Source organism: Homo sapiens, chromosome 13 (genome assembly GCF_000001405.40).
Source record: "Homo sapiens chromosome 13, GRCh38.p14 Primary Assembly".
In the NCBI taxonomy this organism is placed as follows: Eukaryota; Metazoa; Chordata; class Mammalia; order Primates; family Hominidae; genus Homo; species Homo sapiens.
This window is the reverse complement of record NC_000013.11, coordinates 80,197,500-80,220,448: the sequence shown is the minus strand read 5'-3', so window position 1 is coordinate 80,220,448 and position 22,949 is coordinate 80,197,500. Positions and strand designations below refer to the sequence as shown.

Sequence of the window (22,949 nt, the reverse complement as noted above, 5' to 3'; positions counted from 1 at the left end):
TATAACTTTATCTTCCACTCATTCTATTGATTTTTCTTTTAAGTTTGGCAATTTTGTTTTTAATTTCTAAGAGCTCATTCTTTTTTCTGCTTCTATTTTCATGACGCTCATGACATAAGCTCTCAAATTTCTTTGAGCATAGTAATTAAAACACTTTTTTTCCTGTTCTCTGAATTATGTTTATTTCTTTATCTTACTCTTTTTAAAAAAGGCTTTCTTTTTTAAAATACAAGGTAGTACAAGAATGGGAGAAAATATTTGCAAACTATGCATTTAACAAAGGTCTAATATCTAACATCTATAAGGAACTTAAACAAATGTACAAGAAAAAACAAACAAACAATCCCATTAAAAAGTGGTCAAAGGACATCAACAGACAGTTTTCTAAAGAAAACATATCTGCGGACAACAAGCATATGAAAGAAAGGAAAATCAAAATGACAATAAGATACCATCTCACACCAGTCAGAATAGCTATTATTAAAGTCAAAAAATAACAGATGCTGGTGAGGTTGCGGAGAAAAGGAACACTTATACACTGTTGGTGGGAATGTAAATTAGTTCAACTATTGTGGAAAGCAGTATGGCCATTCCCCAAATTGCTAAAAACAGACCTATCATTTGACCCAGCAACCCCATTGCTGGGTATACACCCAAAGGAATACAAATTGTTCTACCATAAACGCACATGCACACATGTGTTTATTGCAGCACTATACAAAGACATGGAATCAACCTAAATGCCCATCAATGGCAGATTAGATAAAGAAAATGTGGAACATGTACACCATGGAATACTATGCAGCCATAAAAAGAATGAGATCATGTCCTTTGCAGGGACATGGATGGAGCTGGAGGCCATTGTCCCTCCTAAACTAACATAAGAACAGAAAACCAAGTACTGTATGTTCTTACTACAAGTGGGAGCTAAATAATGAGAAATCATGGACACAAAGAGGGAAACAACACATACTGAGGCCTTTTGGAGGGTGCAGGGTGGGAGGACAGAAGGGATCAGGAAAAATAACTAATGACTACTAGGCTTAGTACTTGGGTGACAAAATAATCTATACAACAAACCTCCATGACACGAGTTTATATATAACAAACCTGCATATGTACTCCTGAAACTAAAAGATTTTTTTTTGAAGTGATAAATATAAGGTAGTATGGCATAGCTTTCAAGAATGTAGAGTCTGAGACTCAGATTTCTGGATTTCAATTTCAGCTCTATCATTTATTAATTAGGTAGTTTTGGACAAGTAATTCAACTTCTATGTGGTTTAGTTTCCTCAATTATAAAACATTGATAATTATAGTACCTGCTTAACATACTTTAATCCTAGTAGGATTAAATGAATTAAAAATATCAAGACATTGGCCAGGTGTGGTGGCTCACACCTGTAATCCCAGCACTTTGGGAGGCAGGCAGATCACCTGAGGTCAGGGGTTCAAGACCAGCCTGCCCAACATGGTGAAACCCTCTCTCTACTAAAAATACAAAATTAGCCAGGTGTGGTGGCGTGTGCCTATAGTCCTAGCTACTTGGGAGGCTGAGACAGGAGAATAGCTTGAACCCAGGAAGCGGAGGTTGCAGTGAGCCGAGATCGCACCACTGCACTCCAGCCTGGGCAACAAAGCGAGATTGTTTCAAAAATAAAAAAATAATAAAAAATAAATAAATCAAGACATTGAATGAAATCTACTATATAGGAAGTACTAAGAAATCATAGCTATAATTAACGGTTTTCCACATTGATCTAGTGATTCGTGATTAACTGCTCTTAGTGAAAAATGAAGGCCTCCTATATCACAGGTGGTCAGCATGGATATGGGTAGCTGTACTGTAAATAAGTCAGCTTCCACAGTGATTTCTCTCCACCTCCCTCCACTCCCCAAAGCGGCTCGGGATGCAAAGGAGGTATATCAGCTCCAGTGGCGGACTTCACCTGCAGAGGACCAGAAAGCAGCTTGGCCCTCCACTGCAGAGGGAGGTGAGTTTATCCTCCTGGTCCATACTGAATGGTTAGCTTTAAACAGGAAGCTTGCTCACTCTTTGAAGATAAAGCCCTACAGTGATTAGCCTGGAGGTAAATGCTGGGCTGTGGTGTCAGTTTTTCTGCCTGCAGGAGGGGTGGAGGGGACTGTAGGTGAAAGTTGACCTAAGCCCCTTGTTTTTGCTTCGTTTCTCACTCCTGCTCTCCTAGTTGTCAACTCTGAGCCCATAGTGCTACTACCAAGAGAATGGCCCACTAAGCTTCCTTGTGGGCATTCTCTGGAATGCGCGTTCTTCCCCTTTGTTTCTCTGCAGCTTTCAGCTGCTCATATCTACCCGGAATTTGTTGACGTCTCTTGTCTGCTAGTGAATACGCCTACTCCCTACCTTCCCTTTATTGTTATCAGTTTATTCTTTTTCCCACTTCCTTTGAGTCATTTTAATGTGATCTGGGGGCAAGGTTTGTGACTCAAGAGAGACATACTTTGTGCTCAGAATAAAATGTTGATCCCTCAATCCCCCTACTCCTCCTGTCTCTTTTAATTTTAGATTAAGTTTTACAATTATCCTGCAAAGGAAATATTACTATTCCAGTTCTTCATATGAAAATGAAGAAAAGCTTTAGTGTTACTCTGGATCACGTGACTGGTAAGTGATGACACCTGGACTCAAATTCAGATCTTTCTAATAAAAAATCACAAATTTTTTCCTCTAAGATCCAAGAATAGGGACTCAATATGAGGATAAACATGATAAGTACTTAATATTAAGCATTTAGAAGAAAATCAAAATATTAGTTATACAGATTTTAACACTATATGGACAAATTACTAAGATTATTATCTGAGTTTTTTAAAAAATTTAGGGCATGGATTTCTTTATGCATTGCTGGTAATGGTGTTGGGATTCTATAGTTATGGAACCCATGACAGGGAGGATTTTGAGTCTTAAGACTGGAACACCTGTGGCATGTTCTCTTCCTTTACCCGTTCCAGGCAGTGTTTATTATCAGTTCAGATATAAGCATATCTGCCACAAAGAGACCTGGACTTTTTATTCTGCTCCAAGGCCCTTTAGGTGGCAAAGGCCTTCAGCCATGTTCCCCAGAAGCAAACGCAGTATAGATGTAGAACCAGTCAGTTAATTCAAAACCACCACTCTAGCAGAGGTCTGAATTATAATTTCAATAAGAGTCACCTTTTCTCGGTCACGGTGGCTCATGCCTGTAATCCTAGCACTTTGGGAGGCTGAGGCGGGTGGATCACCTGAGGTCAGGACAAGACCAGCCTGGCCAATATGGGGAAACCTGTATCTACTAAAAACACAAAACTTAGCCAGGCGTGGTGGCAGGCACCTGTAATCCCAGTTACCCGGGAGGCTGAGGCTGAGGCAGGAGAATAGTTTGAACCTAGGAGGTGGAGGTTGCAGTTAGCCGAGATCACGCCATTGCACTCCAGCCTGGGTAACAAGAGTGAAACTCTGTCTGAAAAAAAAAAAAAAAAAAACCATCAACAACAAAAAACAAAGAGTTATCTTTTCTCTTTCTAAAACATGATGAGAAAAATGTTAAAAAGTCTGAAGGGAGTATGGATGTATGGTGAAAATACTGCTAAACATAATCCAATAACTCCTTGGATTTAGATTTGAAAAAATGGATATGCTGTTATTAGTACACCAAAAGTTATGTTTTACTGCAACTCACAACAATCTCTCAGTAAATGCAATCTGAGATGGAAAGGAAATTATCTCTGTATTTAACCAAAAATGCAATATTCAACTGTTCAATTGAGCCTAGTTGCCCTGAGTCCTGTGGTTGAGGAAAGTCATCAAACTATAGGGTACTGATTCCTTGTTACTTTTTGGATGAAATTTGTAAGTTTAGCATTTACAAATAGAACTTTGCTGGAAGATAGAGCATGCGTGTTTCTTCTGAGACTGGTGGCTGCAGCTGGACTTCTTCCTCATGACCACATTGCCGTTAAGATCAAACTTTGTCTGTGATTAGTTATCAAGAAAAATATACGGTTTTGACAATATGACTTAGCAACTTGAAAATCTTGGCTGGGTGCAGTGTCTCATGCCTGTAATCCCAGCACTTTGGGAGGCCGAGGCGGGTGGATCACAAGGTCAAGAGCTCGAGACCATCCTGGTCAACATGGTGAAGCACCGTCTCTACTAAAAATACAAAAATTAGCTGGGCATGGTGGCTCATGCCTGTAGTCCCAGCTACTCGGGAGGCTGAGGCAGGAGAATCGATTGAACCTGGGAGGCAGAGGTTGCAGTGAGCTGACATTGTGCCACTGTGCTCCAACCTTGTGACAGAGAGAGACTCTGTTTCAAAAAAAAAAAAAAAAGAAAAAAGAAAATCTTCAGGAGTTTGCAGATAAATCAAACTTGAGAAGCAGAGATATAAATATTCAGGGAAATAAATGATAGAAGAAAAAAATTCCTAACTAAATCTGAAAATATGATGAATTGATCCAGATCTCTAATAAGACAACCTATTAATACAATGTTAATACTAGTTTCCTGCCCAAAGTCACTGGAATTTTTTCTTATATACAAAAGGGCTTATTTTATTTCTCAGATATAGCACCTACTTGGTATGCTTAAACAAATAAAATTCTAGTTAATTAACGTGTGATTTTCTCTCTCTTAGCTGAAATATTTCAGTAGCCATTCATTCTATTTATTAAGATTGCTATACTTTAAAAAATTTAGATATACAAATCTGTGTATGCGTAAGAAGTAAGAAATGGGGCCCAGCTTTTGTAAAGTCAATGAATGACTACAGTTGAAAGAATACCCATGTATTTTAACAACTAGTGCTGTAGCCAAAACATGTCTGCTTACATTCTTTATTTCTCATAAGTGGAATTTCTTGTGAAAGGTTTTGTTTGTTTTGCTATACTCAGAGAAAAATGCACTCATCGGCGAGTTGGACAGGGAATTTTCTGAAAGAATAAAAAGCACATGTTCTGACCATCACCACCTGTCTTAGTCTCAGCTCAAATTTGAACCCAAAGTTTAAAGCACTTAAGAAGCATCTAAGTTTATTACTGTTGTTTATGATACAGTGGCTTCTGATTTTAAGAAGACAATCAAGGAGCCAGGAGTTGCTAGAAAGCAGTTCACTTACAAAATATAGGGGAACCTGGGTATCTTCACTTGCAACATGCATTGTAATGGAATCAATATCTCCTATCTTTTGTAATGCAGTATAATTTTATACCTATTTCGGAATGGCTACTTATTGTAGGATAAATTGGTGTTGACCTATGTTGTTCAAATACTTTGTATGTGTTCGTACAGTAATATAGTCGTGTTCAAAATAAATCCCCACTGTAATCTGTCCATACTCAAGTTGGAAAAAAAAATCTTTATGTTTGGTTGATTTACTTCTACGTCCGCTCTATAAGTGAGAATAGGACCTCCCCCACTTCCGCCCGGTTTTAGAGCTCAAATGTGTTTCAGATTAACCTCTCAAATATACAATTCAGTTAACTTGTTTAAAACATATTGATTCCCACTAGGCATTTCCACCTGGGAGGAACTGATTTCTATCTAAGTATGTAAACTTTTGCTTTTCCCCTGGCCAAACACACACACACACACACACTCACACATACAGTCACACAGTGAATGTTTTCACATTGAAACTGAAGATGTAAATGAAGGCCTGCAGTCTCTGTCTGGTTCTAGTTACAAGGTCTGTTTGTTGACATCACAGATGAAGGCCTGCTGTGTCTCTGGCTCTGTCTACTCCATTTCCCCTCTAATTAGGCTTTGCCCTCAATTAAGTTAATGATGCAACTTTCCCTATAGATCATTTGCCCTTTCAATCAATTAACAGAATATGAAGGGTGCATCCCTCCTTGGCTTGGGATTCATTTGCCCGAGGGCAGACTGTTCCGCTCCCAGAAGTACCACATAAGCAAAAGCAAGATGTTTACTATATCACATATTATCCCTGAGAAAATCAGGCCTAATAGAAGCCTTAACTAAACTGCACTTCATTATTGATTTGTGTCAGGGTAAAGAATTTATCTGAAATACTAGACCAGGTCAAAAATATTAATGGGAGTGTTGTAAATATAAGGCAGTTCAAGACAAATGTAGAGTTAATATTTTAAAACAGAAAAGACTTCTGCAATGTCAAGTGGAATTATGAAACACACACACACACACACACACACACACACACGCATACCTAAATGACCTGAACAAATACTTGAGGTTTCTATCATTTGTGGGTGAAATCACAATGGTCTCTCCCAGACAAGATTATTTTTTATTTCTCAGCCTGTACTCAAAGATTTCAGAATGCATTTAAATGTAATTTGGTTTTAAATAATAAAGATAACCACAATAAGATTATTATAGAACCCATATGTCGTCTGTACCAATATTTGAATGCTGCAAAGATCAAGATTTTAAGATAAAGTTAGCTGATGCTTTCTTAAAAGGTATGACGATTAGGTTAAAAGACAAATATGATAGTTTAGCATTTTATTGAAAGGCAGGATTGAAATAGATGTAGAACTGCAACAGGGTTCTACAAAGAATAGAAATACTAACTCTACATAGATCATAAATATCCTGTAGAATATTGTTTTGTTTAACAGAATGTGGCCATTCTGTTAAACAAAGGCATGTTTTCACATCTTTTTTTGCCCATATAATAGGTAATGCCTCTTTGTGATAAAATAGAACTTGACTTTTCTCCTCCAGCTTTATTAAATTATAATTGTCAAAAATTGTATATATTCAAAGCGTACAATGTGATGTTTTGATATGTGTAGACATTGTGAAATGATTTCCATAATCAAGTTAATTAACATATCCATCACCTCACAGGGTTGCCTTTTTGTGTGTGTGTAGTAAGAATGGTTAAGATTTACTCACTTAAGGAATTTCAAGTATTCTGTATACATTATTATAATTTTATTTATTTATTTATTTGAGACAGGGTCTTTGTCTGTCACCCAGGCTGGAGTGCAGTGGTGTTATCATGGCTCACTACAGCCTCCTCTTCCCAGGCTCAAGGGACCCTCCTGCCTCAGCCTTCCAAGTAGCTGGGACCACAAGCATGCATCATCACGTCTGGCTATATTTTTGATTTTTTGTGGAGATGGGGTCTCATTATATTGCCCTGGCATGTCTCCAACACCTGGGCTCAAGCAATCCTTCTGCTTCCACCTCCCAAAGTGCTGGGATTACAGACATGACCCACTGCGCCCAGCCTTGTGTACATTATTATTAAATAGAGTCACCATGCTGTATATTAAGTCTCCCAAACTTATTTATCTTATAACTGCAATTTTGTACACTTTGACCAACATTTTCCCATTTCCTGAATCCCTCAACTCCTAGTAACCACCCTTCTATTCTCTGTTTCTATGAGTTTGACTTTTTTAGATTCCCCATAAAGCATTTGGCACTTGATGGAAGATTCAGATAAAAAGAAATACCTCCACTAAAAAGTTGTTAAAATCTTACATTACTAACACAATCTAAGGGAACAAAAATTAGCTGGGCAAGGTGGCACATGCCTATAGTCCCAGCTACTCAGGAGGCTGAGGCAGGAGAATTGCTCGAACCCAGAAGGCGGAGGTTGCAGTGAGGCGAGATCGTGCCACTGCACTCCAGCCTAGTGACAGAGCAAGACTCCATCTAAGAAAAATAAAAATAAAAATAAATTAAAAAAATTTGTCATATTTGGATGTCAGCCTGAAGAAAGCAGGGAGTCATGGAAGGTTTTAAAGCACTCTGCATTGAACAAGCTCAGGTTATGTACACACCAGTCCAGGGATATTTAGCTTTAGCTCCTTAAGCACCAGCCATGAGTGAACACCAATGGGTTAAATTCATATTGATTCAATCTCAGCATATCCAAACCTTAACTCATGATTTCCCCTCAGAGACAATGTTCATCTTATTTCTAATTTCTCCATTTGTAGTAATGTTCTTGCCACACAGCAAAGAAACAATCATTAACAGAGCACCTTGGGGATAAAAGCAGCAAAGCCCACCTATAAAAGGTCCATTTAGACCTAGAGAAGGAGAAATGATTCAATCTAAGCCACATAGGTAGTAGGGCACAGAAATAGAATTCTAGTCCAGTTAGAAAATACTCTATAGCCATGTTTTTCTACATAATCGAAGTTAAATGATAATTAATAAAGATGACAAAAACAGTAACATTCAGGTTACTTTGGGATGTGGCACCAGGTGAGAGCATGAATCAGGATACTGAACAATACCCCAGGAAGAGATGGATGCCTTCCCTCAAGAGGAGAGCAACTCAGGTAAGAAAGAAGAAAAGTTAGGTTCCCAGAAGCCATTCTAGGGAAGGCATGCTCTATCTAGGGAGTATGAAGATTGCACTCCCTGGTACCAAAGGCATAACCCATTGCTGATACAATCAGGCTGATATTCTATAGCCATTTTGTACAATGTAAAAGCTCTTGGGCTAATGAATGAACAATTAATTTTATTACTTTCATTCCTTCTTTAATGGTTTAGAGAGTATTAACTGTAAGTAAGTAACTGATGTACAATTCAGATATATAAGCATCCAGAATTCATTGGTGATGTTTTTAAAATAACCCCCATCTGTATGTCTGCAGGCCACAATCTGTTTCATCCTTCTTCCTCTGCGAACATCATTTCACATGAAACTTCATCTGGCCTTTCTCAAACTGCTGAACTGTTTCTGGGACAGGACTGGCTCCACTTCAATTGAGTGGATGTGGAGCACTGGCGCACTAAAATTTTAAACACACACAATACTACTTCCCCCATTCACACTGAATTTAGCTGATGGTATTGTGCATGCTAGATAGCAAAGCTATAATAGATCAATGAAATATTTGGGAGCCAAAAATGTGTTGCCCTATTCAAGCAACTTCTTTATTTTCCTTCCTGTGAGTAAAAATGCCTTCCTCACTCTTCCTTTGGGTAGTCTTTCAAACAGAAGACAGTTAAATTAGGTTCCATGGCTGTTTGGTTGATCCCTTGCTATGAAGAATCAGGACAATGTCATCTCCATGATAATCTTTAATTTGCACCATTTTTTCCGTTTCTTTTTTCAGCAGTACCTTTGGCCCACAGTGTTCTTATCTTATAGAACACACAATTAGCCAGTGAAAAACTCATAACTAGTCTATCTAGTGGAGAAAAATTCTTGTGGTAAGTATCAGAAATACTTGAAGTAGGTGTAAAGTACACATCTCAACTTATGCAAATAAATTGATGATGTCAAAAACATTGATCAATTTAGAGAAGTCCACATCTTCTCATTTTCCAAACTCACCTTTGATATTACTATTTTTTTGTGCTACTTTACTTTTCATTTACATACTTCTAATATATTGTTTTTCTAGTGGCCCACTTCACTCTAGGGCTACTACCCTCACATAAGGGTAGTTAACACTAACACTAAAACTCTTTATTTTTTCTTTCTCTTCTCAAGGTTCGCATTTTTTATCTTCTGAAGGTCCCAAACAGTTCTCATGTCTTCCTTCCCCATGGAGGGCTTTTAATCTTCCTTTGTGATCTAACACCTTTTCCTAGATAATTCCTCTCAGTCATTTTATTTATTTATTTTTTTACATGAAATATTTTTTAATGGTTGTAATGATATATTTTGCATGTAAAATCAAAAAGCTTAAATATAAACTGGAATTATTTCACTAAAAATGCTAGCTGAAAGGAAAATGTATATAATTTTCAACTTTTAAAAAAAAAAAACATCAGCAAGAGTTGGAGCAGCTGAGGTGGCTCTGGGGTGTACTGACTTTATGTTGCATGAGCTCAGAGCAAGGACTGGGTGATGCCAACACAACTGAAACTTCCCAGAGTTATTTTTAACCAATATTCCTAAAACTGATGTCAGTGTATTCAAATCCTCTAAGGACTTAAAAAAGTTGGTTTTAATATTGAAGGTAATTAAGAAAAATTCAATACAAATAAACTTTAAATCACTTTTGCCAACCTCCTATGAGGTGGCATTGTTAAAATTCTACAGATGAAAAGAAATTAAGATTCAGAGATGTAAACAGATTTATAAAGTCACACATGACTAAGTAGTAGAGTCAGATTCAAACCCAGGTGTTTTGGTTACAAGTCCAAATATCACAGGGTGTCTCAGAGAGACAAAGTAGGTCTGAAGGTTGCAATTGCCGCTCCCCCCACCCCAGTCATCATTCTAGGACAGCAAAATTACACAGGGTTATTTGTTTCTATAACAGAGTATTCTCTGCTTCAGTACTTCAGAGTCTTCTGTGCAGTTTTAGGTTATCAGTTTGTCCATCCTAGAAACAACACTTACCGTGGTTTCTGAGAAATAAGGAAATGAAGGGTCTCAGATGAAATCAGGTAACTGAGACTGCTTAATCACTAAACTTAATTTTATCCTCAACTTCAAGTCATGGCTTTGCCCTGAGGCTAACTGCTTTTTACCTGGGGAGAGTGAAAAATAAAATGTGTGTGTGTTGGTGGTGGGGAGTGGTGGGGAGGGGAGGTTTAGCACTCTAGCACCAAGAGCTATAATACATTGCTACACTTTTTTGTTTGTTTGTTTGTTTTGAGACAGAGTTTTGCTCTTGTTGCCCAGGCTGCAGTGCAATGGTGCGATCTCAGCTTACTGCACTCTTTACCTCCCAGGTTCAAGCAATTCTCCTGCCTCAGCCTCCAGGGTAGCTGGGATTACAGGCGCCCTCCACCACGCCTGGCTACTTTTTGAATTTTCAGTAGGGACGGGGTTTCACCATGTTGGTCATGCTAGTCTCGAACTACTGACCTCAGGTGATCCACCCGCCTTGGCCTCCCAAAATACTGGGATTATAGGCATGAGCCACTGCGCCTGGCCTAGAATAGAACTTTTAACTGTTTTCTGGATGGTTAAGCTGGGCAAAAATGAGTAGCAGTTACGGGAGCGTGTAACAGAACACATAATTTGCACTGTGAGTTTTTTGTGTTTGTTAGATTTTCTAGTTATTAGAAAATCTTCAGGGCCATTTGTCACTCTTGCAGCAAGACTATAGGCTTTTCACATTGCTGACTATGGTGTTCTCATTCAAAGCAGTGATGTGTTTCTTCTCTTCCACCTGTATCTATTATCTGTCACATGCACATTTACATAATACCTTACGTATACATGTATATGTGTGTTTACATATGTAGAATTACCACAGATACATAGTATACATAGATATAAATCTATGTAAGATACGAATGTAAAGAATATTTTGGGCTGGGCGCAGTGGCTCACACCTGTAATCCCAGCACTTTGGGAGGCCGAGGTGGGTGGATCACCTGAGGTCAAGAGTTCAAGACTAGCCTGACCAACATGGAGAAACCCCCGTGTCTACTAAAAACACAAAATTAGCTGGGGTGGTGGCACATGCCTGTAATCCCAGCTACTCGGGAGGCTGAGGCAGGAGGAGAATCGCTTGAACTAGGAGGTGGAGGTTGCGGTGAGCCGAGATCACACCATTGCACTCCAGCCGGGGCAAAAAGAGTGAAACTCTGTCTCCAAAAAATATATATATATATATTTTATGCTGGACACAGTGGCTCATGCCTGTAATCCCAGCACTTCGGGAGGCCGAAGCGGGAGAATCACTTGAAGTCAGGAGTTCAAGACCAGCCTGGCCAACGTGATGAAACCCCATCTCTACCAAAAATTAACAAATTAGCTGGGCAAGGTGGCACACTCCTGTAATCCAAGCTACTCAGGAGGCTGAGGCAGGAGAATCGCCTGAACCTTGGAGGCAGAGGTTGCAGTGAGCTGAGATCACAACATTGCACTCCAGTCTGGGTGACAGAGTGAGACCCTGCCACAAAAAAAAAAAAGAAAAAAAGAAAAAAAAGAATATTTAAAAAAATACTCTAAAACTTACTAAATATTCAAATGACTGCTGCTCTCTACAGAGGAGTTCGATATCTTGGGAAGCCGCATAAGTCATTATGACTATAACACTGTAATTCCCACTATTTAGACTTCCTCTTTTGGGATTTCTTTCAGAACCCTTGTAATTTCAGTGAAAACAAGATTAATATACAAAGTGAATAAATTAGGCTAATTAGCATAATACTCTTTTGGTGGTGCTTGTTGTTTGGGGACAGCATGGCACAGGGGGTGTGCAGTCATTAAGGAGAGCAATGAGTGTTCATGACTTATCAACTGGCTCTAAATTACAAGTCTAACAATACAATTGACTTCCTAAAGATTAAATTGTCATCAATAGTATCCAAGTAGAAGTAAGAGAACTACCAGAGTTATGTCTGCAGTTCTGACATTTTGCTCCATTGCTGGGTTCCTATATCCAATTATTTGACATCTCCACATGGAAGATGGCCAAAACCAAACCCTTGATTTTTCCACCTCAAATTTCTCTCACCATCTTTCTCATCTCAGGAAATTGTAACACTTTCTACCAAAGACCCGGAGGTCAACCATGATTCATCTCTTTTCCTCATTTTTTTTTTCTTTTTCTTTTCTTTTTGAGATGAAGTCTTGCTCTTGTTGCCCAGGCTGGAGTGCAGTGGTGCAATCTCGGCTCACTGCAACCTCCACCTCCTGGGTTCAAGTGATTCTCCTGCCTCAGCCTCCCAAGTAGTTGGGATTACAGGCACCCGCCACCATGCCCAGCTAATTTTTGTATTTTTAGTAGAGACGGAGTTTCCCCATGTTGGCCAGGCTGGTCATGAACTCCTGACCTCAGGTGATCCGCCCGCCTCAGCCTCCCAAAGTGCTGGGATTACAGGCGTGAGCCTCTGCGCCTGGCTTTCCTCATCTTTCTAGTTGAAATCAACCAGCAAATCCTATCAACTATGTCTGTAACATATATTCTGGATCTGTACGCTATTCTCCCTAACTAAAGCTACCTGTGGCCATTTGTGTCTCTTGCCTAAACTATTTACATGAACAGCTTTTTTGTTTGTTTGTTTGTTTTGTTTTGTTTGTTTGAGACGGAGTCTTGCTCTGTCACCCAGGCTGGAGTGCAGTGACGCAATCTTGGCTCACTGCAACCTCTGCCTCCCGGGTTCAAGCGATTCTCCTGCCTCAGCTTCCTGAGTAGCTGGGATTACAGGGCCTGCCACCACACCTGACTAATTTTTGTATTTTTAGTAGAGACAGGGTTTCACCATGTTGGCCAGGCTGGTCTCGAACACCTAACTTCATGATCGGCCCTCTTTGGCCTCCCAAAGTGCTGGGATTACAGGTGTGAGCCACCGTGCCCGGCTGAACAGCTTTTTAACTTGTCTTCTTTCTTATTATTTATTTATTTATTTATTTTTGAGATGGAGTCTTGCTCTGTCACCAGGATGGAGTGCAGTGGCGTGATCTTGGCTCACTGCAACCTCCACCTCCTGGGTTCAAGCGATTCTCCTGCCTCAGCCTCCTGAGCAGCTAGGATTACAGGGGCCTGCCACCACGCCCGGATAATTTTTGTATTTTTTAGTAGGGACGGAGTTTCACCATGTTGGTCAGGATGGTCTCGATCTCTTGACCTCGTGATCCGCCTGCCTTGGACTCCCAAAATGCTGGGATTACAGGCTTAAACCATCACGCCTGGCCTAACGTGTCTTCTTTCTTTTCCACCTGCTTCCTTAGAAACTGTTCTCTACATAGGAACCAGAATAAAATTTTCGAAACATAAATTGCATCTTACCATTGTCCTGCTTACAACTCTTCAGTCACTTCCTTTTTACTAACACATACAATTCATACTCCCAAGCTTGGCACTAAGTTAAGGGACCCCTTTAAATATTTATCATAACATCCACAATCAGCCTCACACTCTGTACCCATTTTGCGAGACTCTTTTTCACAATGAATCTTCAGCCATGCTAATTTTCTTTTGCTTCCTCAAAGAGTCCAGCCTTGTTTTGCTCTGGGGCCTTTGTACTGGCTGGTCTCTCTTCCTGTTTTGTTGTTGTTGTTGTTGTTGTTGGTTTGTTTTTTGAGACAGAGTTTCGCTCGTCACCCAGGCTGGAGTACAATGGTGCTATCTCGGCTCACCGGAAACTCCGCCTCTCGGGTTCAAGCGATTCTCCTGCCTCAGCCTCCCGAGTAGCTGGAATTACATGCATGTGCCACCACACCTGGCTAATTTTGTGTTTTTAGTTGAGACGGGGTTTCTCCATGTTGGCCAGGCTGGTCTCGAACTCCTGACCTCAGGTCATCCGCCCACTTCGGCCTCCCAAAGTGATGGGATTACAGTCATGAGCCACCGCACCAGGGCTTCCTGTGGTCTTTTTCACATGTCAACTGAAACCCTCAAAGTTAGGTTGCAACTGAAATGTCACCTCTTCAGAGAATCCTTCTGTAGTGGGTTGAAATGGTGGTCCTCAAAAAGATACGTCCATGTCCTAATGCCTGGAACCTGTGAATGTGACCTTATTTTCAAAAGGAGTCTTTGCTAATGTAATTCAGAATCTTAAGATGACCCTAGATTACACAGGTGGGCTTTAAATCCTGTAACAAGTGTCTTTATGAGACACATAGAGAAGAGACATGGATTGAGGAGAAGGCCATGTGAAGATAGAGGCAGAGATTGAAGTTAGGCAGCCACAAATTGAGAAATGCATCAAGCAACCAGAAACTGGAAGAGACAAGAAAGGGGTCTCCCCCGGAGCATTTGGAGGGAGCACAAGCCTGCTTACATCTTGATTGTGGATGTCTGGCCTCCAGGACTGTGAAAGGATATTTTTATGTTGTTTTAGGTTACCACGTATGTGATAATTTTTTTGTGGTAGTCCTAGGAAACTAACACACCTTCCCTGGCCATCCAATCTAAAGTAGCCATGCAGTTACCATCACCATTTTATTTTCTTCATGACACATGCTACTTGATTCTTTTGTCTATTTTCTTGTTTATTTTTTTCTCTCTCACTTAGAATGTAAAACAGTCTGTCACTTAGAATTTTAAGAGAGCAACTGTATTATTTTTATCTTCACTGTCATTATTTTTAGAGCCTGTTCCCATGTTTGAAATACAGTAGGTATACAATAAAAATTTGTGGAATAGATGAACAAATCACATACTATGAATGATTTGGGAGGCTGGACTACATATTGCTAAGGTATTTTCTAATCCAAGATGTTTATAATTTTGCTATTTCAAGATGATTTTTTGACATAAAATTAGAGACCATTGGTAGAGGAATTACAGATTAAAAACACAGTTTTAAGAACAACATGGCAGAATATACTATGTGAATTGTAGAAGCAAGGAATGCTAAAGAATTTTACTACTTAGGAGGGAAATAATCTAATTGAGAGTCATGAGGGACTGTATCAGAAAAGCTGTAAGAACTGTGAAGAAGAAAAAAAATAAGAAACATACACATATTAATTATAAAGCGAAGCCAAATTTCAATAGGACAATTTAAAATTTTTGATTTTAAATTGTGAATTTGAGCTTACAAAACTGCATCACAAACACATGGATGAATGTTCATATTCATCATAAATAAAGGTTTTTTAAAAAATTATATCCCCTTTTGAGTGATTAATGATGAGTACATGCAAAGGTTGAATGTATCAAGCTGATTATAAAATAAATATTTCCGAAGGTATCTTCTGTGAATCAATGAGTCACATCAGCTCTTTTAGTTTAATATGGTCTAAGTGGAGGCTAGAATATAAGTCATACGTTTATTAAGGTTTCAATGGCTATTTAAGAAAAGCAGTAGAAATCCAGTAAATTATAATTTACACAAATGCACAAGGATCCAGCTTATTCTATAGGGGTGGATTTTCTTGATAAATGGAAACTTAAATGTATTTAAAGGATTCCTTTTGGAAGAAAGGTGTTATTAATTTTTATATTTATAAAAGATAAAATATGTCGATTATATAATTACAGAGAACACTTTTCTCTCTCTCTTTTTTTTTTTTTCTGGAGACAGAGTATCATTCTGTCACCCAGGATGGAGTGCAGTGGCTCAATCTCAGCTCACTGCAACCTCCACCTCCCAGGTTCAAGTGATTCTCCTGCCTCAGCCTCCGTAGTAGCTGGGATTACAGGCATGTGCCTCCAAGCCCAGCTAATTTTTCTTGTATTTTTAGTAGAGACAGGGTTTTGCCATGTTGCCCAGGCTGGTCTCGAACACCTGAGCTCAAGTGATCCACCCACCTCCGCCTCTGAAAGTCTGGGGATTACAGGCATGAGCCACTGTGCCCAGCTCAGAGAATGCTTTTCTTTTTACAGACAGTCTCTTATATGTAAAGGAAATAAATTTCTATTAAAATAGTATTTTCTAAAATTTGATTCTACTATATCGATCCATGTAATAATAAAAGCAATTAAAACCCTAGGATGAGAGGCAGAAAAAGATAGGGAATCCCATTATTCAAAGAAAGAAGTAAGAAAGAGACTTCAGCAAAAAGAGAAATTGTTGTATGGTTTAATTGCATAGTTCAAATACAGAAAGAGCTACCAAGTCAGAAGTTTCTGCTGTGGTGTTCTAGTTGTGTCCCCCCCACCCTCCACCGCCACCCACTTACCTTTAAGTATTTAAGTTATGAATCATACATTTTACATAGATAATTTGAGAAATGCAAGGTTTTAAGCTTAGCTGTTGAAAGCTATGTTGCTTTTCTTTTTTCAAAGTTTTTGGAAATGATACCCTTCTGCTTGATAAAATCAGAAGTTTAAGATGTACAAACAAATCAGATGATATCACTCTATTGGTAAAGGAGTAAGTCTTATGAATGAATTACGAAACTTGGGACAGACTCTGATGTTACGTTTCTTCCCTAAAAGGGCAGTTTGAAAGCCTCTAAGAGAAGATTATGAAGTTTGGAACCAGATGCCAGGAGACACGAGGAAGGCTGTAGATGCTTTGAACTTGTCTACTGGAGGAATATGCTATGTTGTGGTAAGTTAAGGTCTATCAAGGGCATTTGGCTACAGAGTGAGAATTTCTATACTTGCATTTCACACTTGTACGTGAACTTGCATCTGAGAATAAACTTGAACTGATGGAGGAAAGGGTGAGTAGTAGTGAGAATGGTATGTCAGATACAGATTGAAAAAGCTTGTCCTACTCACACCTTCATCTAAGGAATATGTCCAAACTAACAGGCTGTGCTCTCCAAAATTCCAGTATTTGATCACACACGACCTTACTTCTCTGTCCACCTTTGGCTATGGCTAATTCAGATCTAAGAATAGCTTGTACATGGCTCACCTGGAATTCAAAACTGTATCCTCCCTCTAAAGACAGGCTTTTAGCATGAAGTTGCACAGGAACAGAAACAAAGATTAAGCAAGGAAAACTGGTTGGTGGGCAGAGGGGAATGGAGTTGATATATGAAGAAGAAAAACACCAAAGGCAGGGCGTGGTGGCTCACGCCTATAATCTCAGTACTCTGGGAGGCTGAGGTGGGTGGATCATGAGGTCAGGAGTTCGAGACCAGCCTGCCAATATGGTGAAACTCTGTCTCTACTAAAAATACAAAAATTAGCCAGGCATGGTGGCGTTCACCTGTAGTCCTAGTTACTCGGGAGGCTCAGGCAGAAGAATCGCTTGAACCTGGGAGGTGGATGTTGCAGTGAGTCAAGATTGCACCACTGCACTCCAGCTTGGGTGACAAAGTGAGGCTCCAACTCGAAAAAGAAAGAAAAGAAAAGAAAAGAAAAGAAAAACACCATGAAAGAAAGACACAGAGAGGATCAGGAAGCTGGGCCATAAAACTGACTTGGTGGTGTTTTTTTTCTGAGGCCTTATTAAGCTTTCCCAGCATTCTCTGCTAGTCTGTTCTCTCAATTAACTCCCTGACAGTTAGGTGACCAACTCTCCCCATCTGCCTGGGACTACCCAGTTTTAACACTGAAAGTCCTGTGCAGGCAACAACATTATCATCACAGACATCTTTGGGTATCAGGGACTAGATAATCAAAATCCACAAATATTTTTCAGGCAATCAACAGTAAAGCTAACCGATTTACAATGGAATAAAGGAAGCCTGGCTTATAAGTGACAAAAAGTGTATCATATGACTTGTCTCAGAAAAGAAATAAAGGGCTGGGGAAAAGAAGATATAAACTCAGCCAACGTTTAAGGGGACTAGTGAATGAACAATGCTGACAGTAACTGCTTTACCTGCGGTCAGTAGGGGCACATGACTCACTGAAGAGGCCATTTTTGTCTTCAGGGCCAGGACTAAAAAGCAGAGACACGCTTTGTGGGGTTAGCAGGGGATACCGCTCAGGCAGAGATGTGGTCATTATTTTAGAGTGATACCTAATAGAAATTAGGCTTAGGACCTTGAGTTCATAGCTGATGGCAATTGTGAAGAATCTACGAAAGGAAGAAAATCATTGCTTTTGAATGCAAACATGAGTTAGGACAAAATTGATTAGAATTAGTCACAGATTTTTCCCTCCAAAGGAAGAGAACGAAGGTTCAAAAGGTAAAATAGAAATCATTTTAAGTCCACATGAATTGCCTTGAAATTGAGTGATGGGGGTGAAATGAGAGCATGATGTGGCTTTTGTGAAAATTAAACATTATTTTACTGATATGACTCATAGGATGATAGAGAATATCTTAACCTTGGGGAGGAAGGTGTTGTATCAGGTTGGTGCCTGCCTTTGATCACCTTTAGTGTGACCCAGGGTGACAGGAAGTAGGTGTTTCAGGATGATCTCAAATCAGGTGAAGACATTTAAAGTATGATCCCATTTGGGGCTGAATGATAGCAAAATTTCTTGCCAAATGAACCCCATGGATGGAGGAGAAATGAGAGGAGACAGAAGTTAAAATTGAACCAAAAAACAAGAAAGGAATATAGAAAAACAGTTGGTTATAACCTTGATTTTAATATGAACACTAGCTGTCTTAGCCAATGGAAGTAGTAATTATCAGGAAAAATTTCTTTACAAATGTATAAATGAGGGAAGAACAGAAGACATAAATGAGAGATTGCAAATGTGCAATTTATGCACCAAAAATGGGTAGTAGGCATATTCTGTTGGCTTAAAGTGTATTTATAATATCAGAAAACGTTGCCAACCTGGTTACTTTAAGAAAAAATACAAATCCTGGCTTCTCTTTAAAAAGTCAGATCTGGTGGCCAGGTGTGGTGGCTCAAGCCTATAATCCCAGCACTTTGGGAGGCTGAGGCAGGTGGATCACCTGAGGTCAGGAGTTCAAGACCAACCTGGTCAACTTGGCGAAACCCCATCTCTACTAAAAAATACAAAAAAAAAAAAAAAAAGTCAGATCTGGCGTTGCCATATGTTTATAATGAGCTGGAGCTGAGTAGACCTTTTTATAAAAAATGTTTATTTATTTGTTTTACTTTATTTTGTTAGAGACAGCATCTTGCTCTGTGGCTCAGGCTGGCCTCGAATTTCTGGCTTCAAGTGATCCTCTCACCTCAGCCTCCCAAGCAGCTAGGACTACAGGCATGCAGCACTAAGCCCAGCTGATTGGCTCTCTTTTGGCAAAACTCACCAAGAGCTCTATGTCCAGCCCTAGCCTCTGTAGAGATTTCATTTTGCTCCAGGCTTCTCTTCTTCATCTCAGCAGTTGTTTGTAGCCAAATATGCCTGCTTTAGACCAGAATGAGAGAAATAAAAATAGTGACCTAAACTGTGAAGGCAGACCCTGTCTTGGATCATCTATCCACTCAACACATAACAGTTAAGAAAACGCAATATGCCAGGGGTTCAGGTGCACAGACCACTCATTCAGCTTGTGGTTATTTTGACCATCTGTTTCTCTTCTTTATCTACTAAGTCTCATTACAAGTGCAGAATTCCTCTGAAACGTTGTGTTTTATCCAAAAATTAATTTAAAACTTGAAGTCATTCCTTTATACACTATGTTTAACAGTTAGTTCAAAAAATAATGTTGGAATAACTTGAGTCTTCTCCTCGAGAGCAAAATAGGTGGGTGCTCTAGGCAGTTTCTTCACTTTGGTAGTTCAGAGAAGCTCACAGTGTTCTTCCTGGAATGATGAATGTAAAATACTCAGCATAGTGATGAGGAGATTATTCAATAAATGTAAGCAGTTCACTAATTCAATAAAGTATGTAATTATAATAAATTTGATTAGTGGTTCATTTGAAATGAAAGTCTGATCAACACTGATTCCTTTTTTTCTGTTTCAGTACTTCATCTCTATGAATATTTAGCAAGGATTTCTACTGAACGTTTGCAGTAATAAAAAGTATGCCATCAGTTTTAATAAAGAGACACCCACTTCAATTACTATTTGTTACAACACTTCCAGTATCACTTGTGACAAATTTCAATTATAGTTGAAATCCAAAGCATAATCCAGTTCAGAGAGACACATGGAAGTGACCCTTGAGCTTTATTTTGTTAAGTTAAAGTTAAAACATTGCTTTTATTTCATCATGTCGACAAACATCCCTGGGAGTCAGAACCACCATTTTTGCAAGAGGTGAGTTGTAGTTTAAATAAAGCATTCAAACAATCATTCAAATAAGTTCAATATTTATTATTCTGTTACTTTGATTTTAGTATATTTCTAATGTCTATATCTGTCTGTCAACCTATACCTCCTTCCTAAAATATATTGGTTATGCTTACCATATTTATCCAACAAAATATGGAAAGTTATGTAAAACAGTGTCTTTTCTTCTGGGCCACTTTGCACAGGAAACTTGACTCCTCAGTGAAATGTAGGAAGGGCCTGCTTAAAGGGGCCTAAGGATATCTTACAAGCTTCTGCTTGAGTGGTAACATTTACTAGGGGAAGTAAAGAATTTATTTTTCAGCTGAAACTCTGAGAAAAATTTTAGGTATAAGGAGAAGATATAATTATGTGGTTTGGAATTTGGCCAGGGCCCCGGAATTCATATACCTCTTCACTTTTAAGATGTGTCACAGACTCTTTAATTACCCCAAGTGAATCAAGACCTCTGTTTTCTGTCTATCCCATCAAAAAGACATCACACATTGTTACACATTTATCTAATGCCTTTATGAATTTTAAATTGTACTGAGAAGTATGCAGAAATCGTCTTAATCTCTCCTACTGAATTTTGTTTTTTGAAATCCTGATGTACACATGGCAAGGTGGGAGCCATCCTTTAATAAGAGAATGATTGCAGGTGTCCGTGGGGCTCTCAGGCAAAAGCCTGAGGTCTACCTACTAGGAATCAGACTGGCTGGTTGTAATGTTGAACTTAGCTGCTTACTAGCTGTAAAATCGTACACGTGTCAGTTAACTTTGACCTTAACTTGAGCAGCAGTTTCCTTATCTGTAAAACAATCAATAAACATTTATCATTTAAATATTCTATAAATCAGATGGTGTTCAAAGAATTCTTAGCCTCATACTTGGAACACAGCAAACAGTCAATGGATGTAAGTATGATTATTATTCTAGGGCTTTCTGTAGGTCTTAAACATGATACATAGTAGGCTAAGCCATGTGGAGAGGTGGTAGGAGTTCAGCTAACAAATAATATAAATTACAGTCTGGCTTGGAAGAGCTTTGTACATCAAGCCAAGAAGTTTAGATTTTTACCCTGTAGACAAAGGAGAAGGAATCATTGAAGGGTTTTAGTCAGGGAAATGACAGGGTGACATTTGTGTCTTAGAAATAGTACTCTGGTTTCAAAGTGGAGGAGGGACTTGGAAGAAGAAAGGCTGGAAACAGTCTCAAATATATTGAAAATTTGCCTGTCTCCTCAGAGTATGAACCTAATTTACTCCCAGTTATTGAATTGTCCTGCAATGCTTCCATGCCCTGGAATTACACTTGAAAGTTGTAATTGTCTTTTGAGAGACGTAATAGACTTTTTGTCTTTATACAAAACGACCCTAAACTTCTATTCATTTTTTTTCTGGATCTTTCCCCCAAGGCACTATTTCCCTCTAAGGCACTATTTCTACTTATTTGTTAATTTTTAGTGTTGTGAGCACAATAGATAGCCAAACTTTTTAGAAGTGTGTCTAAAACTAGAATAAATAGACCTTCAGTTTCCTCTTCGCTTGGTTAATAGAAATCGGATTTCAATACAAAAGCATCTCCACTTACTAACTTTCAACTTATGAATTCCTATAGATATAACACATTGAGGGCAAAAGTGCTACAACTGTGAACATCACCAGTTGTGTGTAAACAGTCACTTGAATACTTTCACTGGGATGCGGGGAAAATGGAACAATGTCACTATTTCCATAAATTGAGGACCTGCTCTGAATACCAGAGACGAAGGATCTTATCTTTGTCTTGCCTCTGAGTCACATTGCCTTTCTAACAATGGCTGGCTCTTCATCCCTATATGCAAAGTAGAAACAGATAACACCAATGACTTATTTATAGCAAAACATCATGTATTTCCTGAAAATATGCATGAAATTATATTGGAGGTTAGCATTGAAGCATTGCCTCATGAAAATATTAAAGTCAGGCTAGTGGGGCACCGTGGCTCATGCCTGTAATTCCAACACTTTGGGAAGCCAAGGCAGGAGGAGTGCTTGAGCCCAGGACTTTGAGACCAGCCTGGGCAAGATGGCAAGATGTCATCTTTATAAATTTTTTGTTTTTGTTTTTGTTTTTGACAGAGTGTCGCTGTGTCACCCAGGCTGGAGTGCAGTGGTGCAATCTCGACTCACTGCAACCTCCATCTCCTGGGTTCAAGCGATTCTCCTGCCTCAGCCTCCCTAGTAGCTGGGACCACAGGCGTGTGCCACTATGCCCAGCTAATTCTTCTATTTTTAGAAGAGATGGGGTTTCACCATGATGTCCAGGCCGGTCTCGAACTCCTGCCCTCAAGTGATCCACCTGCCTTGGCCTCCCAAAGTGCTGGGATTACAGGCGTGAGCCACCACACCCAGCCTGAAAAATTAAAAAAAAAAAAAAAAATTAGCTGATGCTGTAACATGTGCCTGTAGTCTCAACTACTTGGAAGGCTGAGGTGGAAGGGTCACTTGAGCCCAGAAGTTTGAG

The 22,949-nt window shown here is 39.2% G+C and overlaps 1 long non-coding RNA gene across 1 annotated transcript, besides 1 other annotated feature; it reads left to right on the top strand.

The window, feature by feature from the left end:
- Positions 1,668-20,471, top strand: LOC101927238 (uncharacterized). The gene is made up of 5 exons (XR_245450.4): positions 1,668-1,994; positions 2,546-2,644; positions 9,091-9,187; positions 16,777-16,891; positions 20,134-20,471. It is a non-coding gene; the product is annotated as an uncharacterized LOC101927238 (long non-coding RNA).
- Positions 1,687-2,187: an enhancer, noted in NCBI's record as "NANOG-H3K27ac hESC enhancer chr13:80792397-80792897 (GRCh37/hg19 assembly coordinates)". NCBI's record gives its function as "activates a minimal SCP1, AML or CMV promoter by ChIP-STARR-seq in primed H9 embryonic stem cells {active_cell/tissue: H9 hESC(primed)}" and the evidence as "EXISTENCE:reporter gene assay evidence [ECO:0000049][PMID:30033119]".
- Positions 20,472-22,949: the final 2,478 nt, after the last annotated feature.